Source organism: Homo sapiens, chromosome 11 (assembly GCF_000001405.40).
Source record: "Homo sapiens chromosome 11, GRCh38.p14 Primary Assembly".
Lineage (NCBI taxonomy): Eukaryota > Metazoa > Chordata > Mammalia > Primates > Hominidae > Homo > Homo sapiens.
In genome coordinates this window covers 43,260,952-43,275,006 of record NC_000011.10, presented here as the reverse complement: position 1 = coordinate 43,275,006, position 14,055 = coordinate 43,260,952, and the positions used below count along the sequence as shown (strand labels likewise).

The window sequence follows — 14,055 nt, the reverse complement described above, 5'->3', positions numbered from 1 at the left end:
ACCCTGCAATAATTGCATTAACTGCACAAATTGTACAGCATGTGTGTTTGAGCAATATGAAATCTGGGCACCTTGAAAAAAGAACAGGATAACAGCAATTGTTCAGGGAATAAGAGAGATAACCTTAAACTCTGACTGCCAGTGAGCCGGGTGGAACAGAGCCATATTTCTCTTCTTTCAAAAGCAAATGGGAGAAATATCGCTGAATTCTTTATCTCAGCAAGGAACATCCCTGGGAAAGAGAATATGCGCCTGGGGGTATAGGTCTATAAATGGCCCACCTAGGTGTGGCCGTCTTTTCTGGTCTGTAGACTGTAGGGGTGAAATAGACCCCAGTCTCCCATAGTGCTCCCAGGCTTATTAGGAAGAGGAAATTCCCACCTAATAAATTTTGGTCAGACCGGTTGATCTCAAAACCCTGTCTCCTGATAAGATGTTATCAATGACAATGGTGCCCGAAACTTCATTAGCAATTTTAATTTCGCCCTGGTCCTGTGGTCCTGTGATCTTGCCCTGCCTCCACTTGCCTTGTAATATTCTATTACCTTGTGAAGTGCTTGATGTCTGTGACCCATACCTATTCACACACTCCTTCCCCTTTTAAAAATCCCTAATAAAAACTTGCTGGTTTTGTGGCTTGTGGGGCATCACGGAACCTACCGACATGTGATGTCTCCCCCGGATGCCCAGCTTTAAAATTTCTCTCTTTTATACTCTGTCCCTTTATTTCTCAAGCTGACCGATGCTTAAGGAAAATAGAAAAGAAGCTATGTGACTATCGGGGCAGGTTCCCCAATAGGGCTCCTCCCTGGACACTGCATTTCTTTTCACCCTCTTTCCTCCTCTCTTTACTTTCTACTTCCAGGCCTTTGCTCACTGGCTCAGTCTTGTTCTGCTCTCCCTCCTCCCATGGCCCCCACCCTGCACCTAGATGGGGGCCACATGGACTTGTGGGAAGCCACCATCCTGCACACACCATTCTCTACAGCACTTGGACCCTATTTGTAAAAATCCTGCTCCTTTATTTGTTCAGAAAAGCAGCCTTGTCCCCAACCCAACTGAAACCCAGCACATGCCCTTTGGTGACAACAGCCTCAGCACCCTCCTGATGCCAGGCCCAGGGGTGCTTTTTCTTCTTATAGGGAAGGACACCAGCCATGTTCATATAAGGGCCCACCCTGTTCTAGTATGACGTCATCTTAACTTAGTTAATAACAACCTATTTCTAAATACAACTGGTCACATTCTGAGGTACTTGGGATTAAGACTTCAACATTTATTTGTGGGAGACACCATTCAACACATAACAATATCTCTTGAACTCCTGGCCTCAAGCAATTCTTCTGCCTTGTGCCTCCCAAAGTGCTGGGATTACAGGCATGAGCCACCATGCTTTGCTCCATAACAATATCTCAAAAGGCAGTACAGTGGCCTGGTGTGTGGGTTCTAGAGCCAGAGTGCTGCAGTACAAATCCTGGCTCTGTCACTGAATGACTTAGAGCAAGTTACTTGGAGTATCTGGGCTTCAGCTTCTTCCTCTATAAATCAAAGGAGAACCTCAGAGGAGCATCATGAATTAATATACATAAAGCACCTAAAATAGTGTTGGAGTAGAAATTGCTTATGCCCTTTCCAAATCCCCTTACCAGCTGGTGCACCCATTCCTAGCCATGGCTGATAACTCACACCAGTGATCTTCTGTGGAAAAGGTGGCCCATGGGAGCCGCCCTGTTGGAGATGTCTGAGAGTTTGATTTCCCCTTCAAACTGGCCAAGGCTGGACTTTATCTGGGACCACATCCTTGCTTAGCTCTTTCTCCTTGCCTGAGCTCTCCTGAGAGCACAGCCTCAATAAGTCAAGTGCATCTGAATTCCTGCCTCAGGCTCTGATTCCAGGGTGCCTGACCTGAGCCAAGTGCCCTGGATGAGAGTATTAGATTGCTTCGGCTGGGCGCGGTGGCTCACACCTGTAATCCCAGCTCTCAGGGAGGCAAGAGGCTGGAGGATAGCTTGAGCCCAGGAGTTCGAGATCTGCCTGGGCAATATAGCGAGACCCCGTTCTCCAGAAAAAGGAAAAAGACAAACAAACAAACAAACAAACAAAAAAAACAAAAATGAAAGTATTAGATTGCTGTTACCATTAACATGTTCAGGGAGTGTATTAGTCCCTTCTCAAGCTGCTAATAAAGACATACCTGAGACTGGGTAATTTATAAAGGAAAGAGGTTTAATTGACTCACAGTTCAACATGGCTGAGAGGCCTCAGGAAACTTACAATCATGGCAGAAGGGGAAGCAAACATGTCCTTCTTCACATGGTGGCAGCAAGGAGAAGAAGAATAAGCAAAAGGGGGCGAAGTCCCTTATAAAACCATCAGATCTCAAGAGAACTCACTCACTACCATGAGAACAGCATGGAGGTAACTGCCCTATGATTAAACTACCTCCCACTGAGTCACTCCCATGACATATGGGGATTATGGGAACTACAATTCAAGATGAAATTTGAGTAGGAACACAGCCAAACCATATCAGGGAGCCAGGAATTTACCTCCCAAACTCCCTGCCTTCCCCATGATTCAGTACTGCAATTATATATATATATTTTCTGCCATTTATCTTACAATGCCAAGAATGAAAAGTTTTCCCCGTACACATTGACGGGTTCCTGGGCTGAGACTGTCCATGCGCACCCAGGGGAAGCTGTCCCTTCATCATCACTGGCCACCCCTGAGAGTGTGTGCAGGCCTGAAGCATTTCTCTTTGCTTTACCTCAACTTCGGACTGCTAAGTTTCCTCTGCACTTCACTGCAGCAGCCCACTTCTTAGTGCTTGCTCCTCAGTCATTTGTATGGAGGACGAAGTCTACTTTGTGACAACATCTGGGATTAGTAAATGTTGTTGGCTCAGCCTAACCCAGTTCCACCCTATCTGAACTCAGGTTGGCTTGCTACACCTTAGCCCTGTCCCTGTCATCATCATCATCATCATCATCAATCATCATCATCATCATAACTGCCTCTTAGCAAATGACTAGTATGTGCCAAATTGTCCATAGTATATGTAATAATAACAAAGACATAAGTTTTAACCTTCAAAAATACCTTGAAATAATGAGTGACATGCCGTTTTATTAGTGAGGAGCAGAAGCTCAGAGAAGTTAGGTTACTTCCTGTGGCCACACAGTTGAGCCAGACTTTGAATCACAGTCATTTGGGGGAGAACCAAGTGTAACTACTCAAGTTCTTTGTTGAAATTACATTCTCTATAAGCCCTGAAACCATGAGCCATTGATTTTGTCTAGCGAATAGCACTTCTGATAGCTGGTGTTCTAGGCCCTTCCCAGAAATAAGAAATGACATTGTAACTCCTTGAATCTGTCCTTTCCTTTTTTTCTCCAACTTGGGCTTAAAGTTTCCTCAAATTGTTTTACTTCTATTTGCCATCTGAAGCTTCCTTAATCTACTGCACTTCTTCTCCTCCATTCCCCAAGCCCCGGGCAAATTCATGCATATTATTTGCCCATTTCATTCTGTTCCTGAGATTTGTTTCTCTAACATTCACTCAAGTTTATGCCACCCAAGTTCCAATTCATAATAAGATTTGCATTTTCAGACTTACATTTAAATCAAAGCATATGAGATTCTTGTTCATCACAAATATTAAGAAGGGGGTAGTGGTCATGTCATTTGTCATAATTTATCATGATGTTTGGAAATACTTCATTAATTAAGTTCCCAAACAAAGCCTCCTTCTTTCCCCTTTCCAGGAGCCCATTAATTAGAATTAGATTATTTTGAAATCACGACTTGGTAGCAACCTGTGACAGATATCTGGGTTACTCAACAAATCACAGGGGCTCTATGAAATTGCATAGGAAAAGCTTCGCAAATGACAATACCCACTAACAAACTCACCTTTTCCAACAGTTCTCCAGGACACATCCTTCCATGACTCAGGGTCTTTGTGAGTGGGTGTCAGGCTCTTGATGTTTGATGAAAGATGAATGTCTAACAAATGCAGTGCAAATTCAATGGCAATCAATTGCAAAGTGAAACTGAAAATATTGCAAAAGGTGTAGGATTTCATGAAGTCGAGGGAATTGATATTGGAGGATGGTCTGAACCATTGGCAAAACAGGAATCAGAAGAACCCTTATAAATTGAAGCAGATAAGGATGAGGATGCCTGAACTTCTTTGAGAGAAAATGATTAAAATATCAAATGCCTAAGGGAGTCTCTTCGGCAAAATGAGGAAGCCTTTAAGTATTTTTCAAAAATGACTCTCTTATTTGTTCTCACTGAGAGCGTTAAATATGAAATAAAGAATACCCTATTGTGCAATCACACAATTTTGTGAAAAAATTATGCTAAAGGAATCAATGCATGATTTATTCTTTATTCTGGAATAGTAATGACCTACAGCTTGTTATTTATAAGTTTAAATCAATTTTTATAACTTTTCACTTCAGGTTTTATTATTTTATTTTATATATGTACATATATATATGTACATATATATATATATATATATATATATATATTTTTTTTTTTTTTTTTTTGAGACAGGGTCTTGCTGTCACCCAGACTGGAGTGCAGTGGCACGATCACAGCTTACTCCAGCCTCGACCTCCCATGCTCAGGCCTCCCAAGTAGCTGGGAGCACAGGCGCGTGCACCATGCTTGAATCCTTCCTTCCTTCCTTCCTTCCTTCCTTCCTTCCTTCCTTCCTTCTTTCCTTCCATTCTTCCTTTCTTTTCTTTCTTTTTTCTAGATGAGGTCTCGTTCTGATGCTCAGGCTGGTTTTGAACTCTTGACCTCAAGGAATCCTCCCACCTTGGCCTCCCAAAATGCTGGGATTAGAGGCGTGAGCCACCATGCCCAGCCCACTTCAGGTTTTAATATAGAACCCCAGTAAACCTCGTTTTCTCTATTTTCTATGACGTTTTCCTCTCCTTTTAAGTAAGTTCATTCACGGTAGTCAATTACCCCTGGAAATCAAAGCCTGTCTGTATACGACAGAGTGCCTGCCCACAAGGAGCTTCTGGTGTTATTGGCGAGGTTTTCCAAATGTGCTGGGCACAGGTCAGTGACGAGTGAGAGGATTCCCTTCTGACCAGGCTGTAACTACGGTTTAACTGGGGAAAGAAGAGATGGGAAAAGGAAGGAGGAAATAAATGTCTTCTATGTCCAGTCAAGATCTGCAGGATCTGTAGCCTGGTCTGGCCTTGCTTTCTTTGGCTCCCAAGATGACCCTCTCCTTCTACACAAACCCTTTTTCCTGCTGCTGTCAGAAACATGTTGACAAGACTCTTTTGTTGGCTTTCTGAGGGAGCTCATGAAAAGCACGCTGGGAATTCAGCAAAACACCGGCGCTCTAACTGCTCCTGAATGAGACAGAATTAGAAAATGGCTTCAAATTGAAAACTTAATTTTCAATTAGTGTACATTCAGGCAGGAGTGGGAGGGATTAAGGGATGGCAGCTTGTTTGGTTAACACACTTTTTAGAAGACACGCTTGCAAGCTATTAGTTAGCTTCCTCCTTTCCTCCCCCTCCCACCATCCTAAGTGCTCCTTGCTCTGTAATTTGGCAGCCGCTCGCTCCCCGGCCTGCTGTGCTCTCAGTCCCTGACCGACTCAGATGCAGATGGCAGCAGCGCAGCCACAGGAAGTGGGACGCAGCCTGTGGCCTCCGAGATTGGCTTCTCTGTGTCCTCCTTGCTGTGGACCCCGTGACGCCACAGGTGAGCTTGCCACCTTAAAAGACGCATGTCCTTCTGATGGCTTTAAAAAACACGTTTGGAAAAGAAAAAAACAATTTCTTTCTCCAGCATATTTGGCCATATTATCAGGCTCACCATTGGGCAAATATGTTCAGTGCAACGTCTAAATTAGGGATTTGCAGTGAGTGGGCTTGAAGGTGGGAAGAATGAATGCTGTAGGAATGGAGTATGAAGTTGGATATAGGGGATGGCAGAGGCACAGGTCAGGGATACGGATTGCTTTATCTGCTCTCTGGTGCCCTCTTTCTCATCTTTAGATAGGTGTCATCCACTTCTCTCCCTTTCCCCTTTCCCTAATTCACAAATACTTATCAGGCCCTGAGTGTTCCAAGCAACCACAGCCCATTCCCCTTGGTTAGCCCTGCTTTCTCTTGGTACTTTGCTACCTGTGATGAGTTATCTGTGGAGTCAGTGTCTCTAAAGTGAAGCCTCAATTAACACGTGCACGTGTAACATGGTGTGTTTACAAGCCCTGTAACTGGAAATCATTAATTCAGTCAGCAGAGCAATAACTTCATTAGGAACTTCCTTCTGTCATTAGTAGGCAAGAGAAAGTGTGCCACTGTGATTAAACATGCCATTTCAGACGTGGCAGGCAAGACTGCTATCTGCTTGGCAGGCGTTTTTCATCTTTTCATCTTCCTTCCAACTCTTCTCAGATACAGCAAAGCTGGCTGCAAACATTGGAAGCCAGCATTTCATTCTATAACAGGCATGGCCGCTGGCTCCGCTGATCTGTCACTAGGGTTTTCCTGACTCCTTCTTCGACCTTGGCTCACATCCCAGCCCCAAGCTCCTGGCGACATCTGCTCCCTACAGATTGGCCTGAACAAATTCCAAGTGCCTTTACTTAAGGCTCTCTCTCTCTTAGTGAGTGCAACCCTAGGCTAATTTCTGCAACCCCTTCTCAAAGGCATCAGTGTCCTCAGCCGCCACCAGTGAAATCCTTCCCAAGGTTAAACTCCTCTCCAGAGAAGCGATCGCCACACAGTTTCTTCATTAGCCGTATCGTGCTAATGAGCAACTCTTGTTAATCCCTTCTCTGCCATCCAGGCTGTAGCCTTCCAGCCAGTTTCCAAGAAGTGTTGGATTTAATTGAAGAAACGATGAGATTGGCTCAAATGCTAACAGAAGCTTCCAGACTGAAAAAAAAGGAGAATAGGAAGGAGTTTTGAAAACAAACTCCTGCTAGACAAATACCAATGAATCTTGACAGCTCAGATGCAATTAATTGACTTTGAGAAATGAAACTGAAAGCTAGGATTTTCAGGCTTAAAGGGTCCTAGAAGTCTTGTAATTCAATCCTTTTATTTAAAAAAAAAAGGAGGGGGAGAAATTCTGATTTAAAGCAGCTAAAGGACCTGCTCAAGTGTCTAACAAGGCAGTGGTAGAGGAAGGTGTCTAGCCCAAAGACTGGGACTGTTCCTCTTCCCTGCGATATTCACTATACACATAGCCCTTCTCTTTTTTCCTGTTGTAAAAGCAGTTGAGAAGGTTTTTGGTGATGGTGTCAATGCTCATCTACTTACATTTTTCTTTTTCTCTCTTTTTTTTTTTTGGGGGGGGGGGCGGAGTTTCAGTCTTGTTTCCCAGGCTGGAGTGCAATGGTGCAATCTCGGCTCACTGCAACCTCTGACTCCCAGGTTGAAGCAATTCTCTCACCTCAGCCTCCCGAGTAGCTGGGATTACAGGCACCTGCCACCATGCCCTGCTAATTTTTGTATTTTTAGTAGAGATGGGGTTTCACCATGTTCGCCAGGCTGGTCTCCAACTCCTGACCTCAGGTGATCCACCTGCCTTGGCCTCCCAAAGTGCTGGGATTACAGGCATGAGCCACCAGGCCCAGCCTACTTCAATTTTCAAGGATGTCAGTATGCTTCTCCCCAAAATTTAGGGACGCATCAGTCAGAACTCTTTTGGTTGCAAGAGATGAAAATACAACTTGTCAGAAAGGAGAATTTATCAGCTCATAGTCTCTAAGGGAGGTTGGGTAACTAAATCATAGAAATCTGGGATGCAGGACAAACTAGAACAAGCTCTGGAATATCACCAGCTCTTTCTTTGTTTTCCACTGTGTCTCCTGCATTCTTTCTCACTGAAGACTGCTGTTTTTTCTTTTTTCTTTTGTTCTATTTTTCATATGGAGGGGAATAATTGCTATCAACAGTGCTAAGTTTTACGTCTTACAGCTCCTACCATTGAAGAGGACTTAATCACACATATATAGTCTCAATCCTTAGAAAGTGTTTGGTTGGCTGGGGGTGGTAGGAGGAGCTGGCTTTACGTATTTCAACTTACTTGATCCTTATAACAACCCTACGAGTTTAGTACAATTAACAACATTTTGGTTTCATAGATGGAGATAATAACACAGATAGGTAAATTTGCTTGCCCAATGCCACACAGGTAGAAAGTGGCAGACTGGGATCTAGACCTGGGCCATCTGGATTTTGGGTATTGCATTAAATCATCATGCTAATCTGTGTCTTAAGTGGCCAGACATTATTATGTATGACAATGAGTTTTGGAAGAACTTCTTCTACTTCCTTAAATACTTTACCTACCTGTTGAATAATGATGTTGGTTGATTTAATTCAAAGTATCCGTATTCCCCTTAAAAACAGAAATAACCCTGGGAACAATATCCTATAATTTTTGTTAGTAAGATACTCTCAAATTCAACTAACATTACTTATACCCTTATTTTATTTATTTATAGAGAGAGGGTCTTGCTGTCACCCAGGCTGGAGCACAGTGGCATGATCATAGCTCACTGCAACCTTGAATTCCCAGGCCTAAGAGTTCTTTCTGCCTCAGCCTCTTGAGTAGCTGAGGCTGCAGGTGTGTGCCACCATGACTGGATAATTTAAAAATATATATTTTGTAGAGATGGGGTTTCACCATGCTGCCCAGGGTGGTCTCGAACTCCTGGGCTCAAGTGATCCACCCGCCATGGCCTCTCTAAGTGGTGAGGTTGCAGGCATGGGCCACCGCATCTGGACTTAAGTGCTTATTTTACATGCTACATTAGTACCATGAAGCGGGTGGTATTAATCTTCACTTTACAGATGAGGAAACTAAGACTTGGCAAGGTTAAGTGACTTGCCAAGGTCACACAGAAATAAAGCAGGCAAGCCAGGATTTGCACAGGCCTGCCTTTTTCTGAGCTTAGCACTCTCTAGAATACTGTGCTTGTCAATGAAATGAATCTGTCCCATGCTTTCTGGTTTGCAGAGCTGATTGTATTAGGGAAGGAAGGTGGAAAGTAAGAGGAGAAAAAGAAATTGTGTCCTTGAGGCTTACCGTAAAAGTGAGATTCTTTAAAAGATCTAAGGGGATTGATGTATGAAAAAAAGAGGATGGATGTGAGGGGCTAGTCCAGAAAATTCTAATTCTCTCACTTTACTGCCCAGAGAGAATGGAAACATTCATTGACATGAATAGAAGGCTCCAGCAATTAGGGTGTTAATATTCTGTGTAGTCACAATTATGTTGTAACTACCAATTATGGGAAAACTCATCATTTTACTGTAATGTAATTACATTAAATAGCACCAGTCATGTCGGTGCAAAGACTGGGGCAGCCTCTAATTATCCACTGTATCCAGACACCTCAGCCTGGATCAGGAATAATTGGTGTAATGTGGTTTTGCATTTCAGGGTTGGCCTCCGTATTCCTCAGAAAATCTTTTCTTGCTTTCTGAACCTCCCTTGTGCACGTGATTCAGCTGTGTTTGTGACCTGGAAGCTGATGAGAGGTTAACATCCCCAATCTAGGTGTGTCTTAGTATTTCCCTGAGCAAGAAAGGAATTGAGAGGAAAGCATCTCTTACAGTTGGTGAGCCCTCTGAGGACCAAGACTGTCTTTCTTTCTTTCTTTCTCTCTTTCTTTCTTTCCTTCCTTCTCTCTTTCTTTCTTTCCTTCTCTTTCTTTCTTTCTTTCTTTCTTTTCTTTCTTTCTTTCTCTCTTTCTCTCTCTTTCTTTCTCTCTCTCTTTCTTTCTTTCTTTCTCTTTCTTTCTTTTTCTTTCTTTCTTTTGTCTCTCTCTCTCCTTCTTTCCTTCCTTCCTTCTTTCCCTCCCTCTTTCTTTCTTTCTTGCATGCTTGTTTGCTTGCTTGCTTTTTCTTTCTTGAGACATGGTCTTACTCTGTCACCCAGGCTGGAGTGCAGTGGCACAATCTCAGCTCATTGCAACCTCTGCCTCCCAGGTTCAAGTGATCCTCCAGCCTCAGCCTCCTAAGTAGCTTGGACTACAGGCGTGCACCACTATGCTTGGCTAATTTTTGTATTTGTTTAGTAAAGACGGGGTTTCACCATGTTGGCCAGGCTGGTCTCAACTCCCAATCTCATGTGATCCACCTGACTCAACCTCCCAAAGTTTTGGGATTACAGGCGTGAGCCACTGAGCCCAGCCTAGTTTGATTACTTTTCAAAAATTCTTTTTCCCCCCTGCAAATCCCATTCTTTTCAATCCAAATCCCATTCTTTTCAACATTGGGAGGGTGCCTTCAAGGATTAGTTTTTGTGGGTGTCTATGTTGGAGATTATACATTTACTTTTTTGAAAGCCAATCACTTGTGAAGTTGATCTCAATGAACATCCTTGGGGAAAACCTACATCTTAGAAGGACAAAGGGAGGTGCAATGAGGTGAAGAGGCTCAAAGGTATGAGAAAGCAAAAAAAAAAAATGGTCTCATTTTTCTTCTTTCTTTGATGCTTGGATTTGGCAGTGATCTGATTTAAACATTAGGGGAGAGCAGCAGATGGTGTGATTTATATTCACACATAAAATGCTTTCCCAAGTGATTTGAAGGCCCTGGTGGATTTTAAACATTGTAATAGCTGTGATTATTTTGTTGTATTTTATAGACACATTGTGTTTTGGTCATTCCTGATTGATTTCTTCTCAATTATAAAAGCAGCAGTGGTAAGGATAGGCATCTCCCATTTAAGAGACAGGGAAAGCAGGATGGAGGAGATGATTAAAAAATAGATTTACCCTGGGAGACTTCAGCGCAGGTCACTGCATCATGAACTGGGAGTGAACAGAGACCCTGAGAGCCCAGCCTGACGGAATTTAGTTCATTCTCAACAGAAAACAGATACGATTACAGTGGAGGTCAATAATCGAGTTGCACCAGCCGTGGGATTTGTAGCTTCCTGCTGACTGATGGGCCTCACCTTTCCAGACGAATTTTCTTTGCTTATATTAAGTCTCTGCAGAGAGGATTTTATTGCTCTCTGTGGAGTTAGAGAAGTTAGGCTTTTCAGTTTGGACCTTGTGATTCTAAGTTAAACAGCAACTGACCTTCTTAATTAATATCTAGAAGAAAGAGCCATTATTTTGGAGAAATCCTCAAGCTATTTCAAAGAGAGGTAAAATCAGGATACTGTGAGGTGCCTCATCTTCCACAGGGAGAAGCTGAGGAGGATGGCACTGAGCTGGAACCTGGAGGTGAGAGCATTTTAGGAAACTGAGTCATAAACTTGACCCCAGTGGATGTGCTTCTGGCAATGCTGCAGACCCTGGAATAAGAAAATATCTAAATAATGGCATGAAGTTTTCAGAGTTAGCAATCCCTCCTCTATATTTTGATCTTAATTGTTGACTACCTAACTTAAAACATTTTATTGTCTACTTTTATCCCCAGTGTGATTAATGCTTATGATAAAATTCAAAAAGTCACAGAGGAGTCATTATCCTGTTTCTCTGTTGCACCGACCTCGACATCTTGCCTGTGTCCCACATTTCCCCCACATGCCTATAGATTGGTGTATCCATTTCACACTGATTCAAGAAATGGAAACTGAACAGCTAGAGAAAACCTTCCCTAGCACTGAAACCAGTGGTGAATTTGGTAAATGCCTTGCAGAATATATGGAAGAAGAACAAGCATTTAAAAGATCTAGAAACACTGATGGTTGAATTATGCGTTGTGTTTCAGAGCAAGAATGCTTGGACAGTGATTGGAAAAGGAGATAAGAATATTAAGGCTTTCTGTATAGACTACAGAGCCAGGGTTCTAGCCCCAGAGGGCAATGGCCCCAAGTGCATGCTGAGTATCAGTGCTGATATTGAAACAGTTGGAGAAACTCTGAAGAAAATCATCCCTACCTTGGAAGAGTACCACCATTATAAAGGAAGCAACTTTGATTGCGAATTGAGGCTGTTGACTCATCAGAGTCTGGCAGGAGGAATTATTGAGGTCAAAGATGCTAAAATCAAAGAGCTTCAAGGGAACACTCAAACAACAATCAAGCTTTTCCGGGAATGCTGTCCTCATTCCACTGACGGAGTTGTTCTTACTGGAGAAAGACTATGGAGTTGTAGAGTGCATAAAATTATCCTTGATCTTATATCTGAGTCTCCTACAGAGGATGTGCACAGACTTATAATCCCAATTTTCATGATGTAACCTATTACATTACATGATGTAACACCATTATATTATGGTGGTTTTACAATGTTGTCTGATGACCACCATGGATGCCTGGTGGGGTTTCCCAGGCAGGGAAGAGGTGGTTTTGACAGAATGTCTACCAGTCAGGGTGGGTGTTCCATGTGGCCATCTGGAAGAGATTATGATGACATGAGTCCTTGTTGAGGACCACCTCCTCCTTCTTTTGGACAAGGTGCCTGGGGTGGTAGCAAAGCTGAGAATCTTCCTCTTTCTCCACTACCACTACAGAGGGTAGGAGACATAAGGGCCTATGACAGAAGAGGAAGACCTGGAGATGGTTACATGGCATGGCTGGCTTCAGTGCTGATGAAACTTGGGACTCTGCAATAGATACATGGAGTGCATCAGAATGGCTGATGGCTTATGAACCACAGAGTGGCTCCAGATATAATTATTCCTATGCAGCGGACAGTGGCTCATATGGTGGACCTATTATTACTACACAAGGAACTATTCCCAAATATTTGGTTGGATCTATTATTGGCAAAGGTGGTCAGTGAATCAAACAAATCCATCATGAGTTGGAGCTTCAACTAAAGTTGATGAGCCTTTAGAAGGAGGTGAAGATCAGATCATTATCATTATAGGAACATAGGACCAGATATAGAATGCACAGTATTTGCTGCAGAACAGTATGAAGCAGTTTTCCGGAAAGTTTTTACTAATGCTAGTGAAGGACTGAAGGAGTCCTGCATCTTTTTTTTTTTTTACATTTGCTTCTGTTTAAAAAGCCATCATGCCTCTGCTTCACAGGTGTTTTGCATCTGAGGTGTAGTGAAACCTTTGCTGTTCACCAGATGTAAGGTTTTAGTTCCTTACAAACAGGGTTGGGGATGTAGGGAAGGGCTTGCAAAAACTAATGTTGAAATTTTGAAACAGCAGTAGAATGAGCGGATTTTTTTTTGTGTTCATTGTTACTGGTTTAAAAAAATGTTCCCCTATGTAATTTTTGTGAACACCTTACTTTGTGGTCACTGTAACATTTGAGGGGTGAGACAGGGAGGAAGAGTAACAATAGGCCACATGTCCCTGGCATCTGTTCAGAGCAGTGTGCAGAATGTAAGGCTCTTTAGTAAGAAATGTTTTACGACTTTTAAGATAAATTTAGATAAACCTAAAATAGTCACAGAGGATGTAAAATAAAAGTGAAAGACTCCCTTCTTACCCCTCACCCCTCCATCATACCTTTTAAAACTAACAACTGTGAATCGTTTATTGTGTTAACCCTATACGATCATTTTAAATAAAAAATAAGCCTGTGTGTGTGCGTGTGTGTGTGTGTCTAAATCATATTCTTTATATATTTCTACAGCTTGTTTTTTAAAAACGTTAACACTACAGGCCGGGCGCAGTGGCTCACGCCTGTAATCCCAGCACTTTGGGAGGCCTAGGCGGGTGGATCACGAGGTCAGGAGATCGAGACCATCCTGGCTAACACAGTGAAACCCCATCTCTACTAAAATTACAAAAAATTAGCCGAGCGTGGTGGCGGGTGCCTGTAGTCCCAGCTACTCGGGAGGCTGAGGCAGGAGAATGGCGTGAACCCAGGAGGCGGAGCTTGCAGTGAGCCGAGATAGTGCCACTGCAGTCTGGCCTGGGCGAAAGAGTGAGACTCCGCCTCAAAAAAAAAAAGAAAAAAAATTAACACTACATATCAGGCATTGCTCTATATCATTAACTATAGATTTAAATGGTTTATTTTAAAAATATTACAAATTATTACAGTGCATAAATGTACTATCATTTACTTCCGTCCATTATTGATGAACATCTGGGTGGTGGTCAGGATTTTTTTCTTTATCCTTTTAAAAAA

The 14,055-nt window shown here is 42.7% G+C and overlaps 1 pseudogene across 1 annotated transcript, besides 2 other annotated features; it reads left to right on the top strand.

The window, feature by feature from the left end:
- Positions 5,133-5,632: an enhancer, noted in NCBI's record as "H3K4me1 hESC enhancer chr11:43290925-43291424 (GRCh37/hg19 assembly coordinates)". NCBI's record gives its function as "activates a minimal SCP1, AML or CMV promoter by ChIP-STARR-seq in naive H9 embryonic stem cells {active_cell/tissue: H9 hESC(naive)}" and the evidence as "EXISTENCE:reporter gene assay evidence [ECO:0000049][PMID:30033119]".
- Positions 5,633-6,134: an enhancer, noted in NCBI's record as "H3K4me1 hESC enhancer chr11:43290423-43290924 (GRCh37/hg19 assembly coordinates)". NCBI's record gives its function as "activates a minimal SCP1, AML or CMV promoter by ChIP-STARR-seq in naive H9 embryonic stem cells {active_cell/tissue: H9 hESC(naive)}" and the evidence as "EXISTENCE:reporter gene assay evidence [ECO:0000049][PMID:30033119]".
- HNRNPKP3 (heterogeneous nuclear ribonucleoprotein K pseudogene 3) lies at positions 5,638-13,503 on the top strand (annotated as a pseudogene). The gene is made up of 2 exons (NR_033868.1): positions 5,638-5,742; positions 11,727-13,503. The product of NR_033868.1 is annotated as a heterogeneous nuclear ribonucleoprotein K pseudogene 3 (transcript).
- Positions 13,504-14,055: the final 552 nt, after the last annotated feature.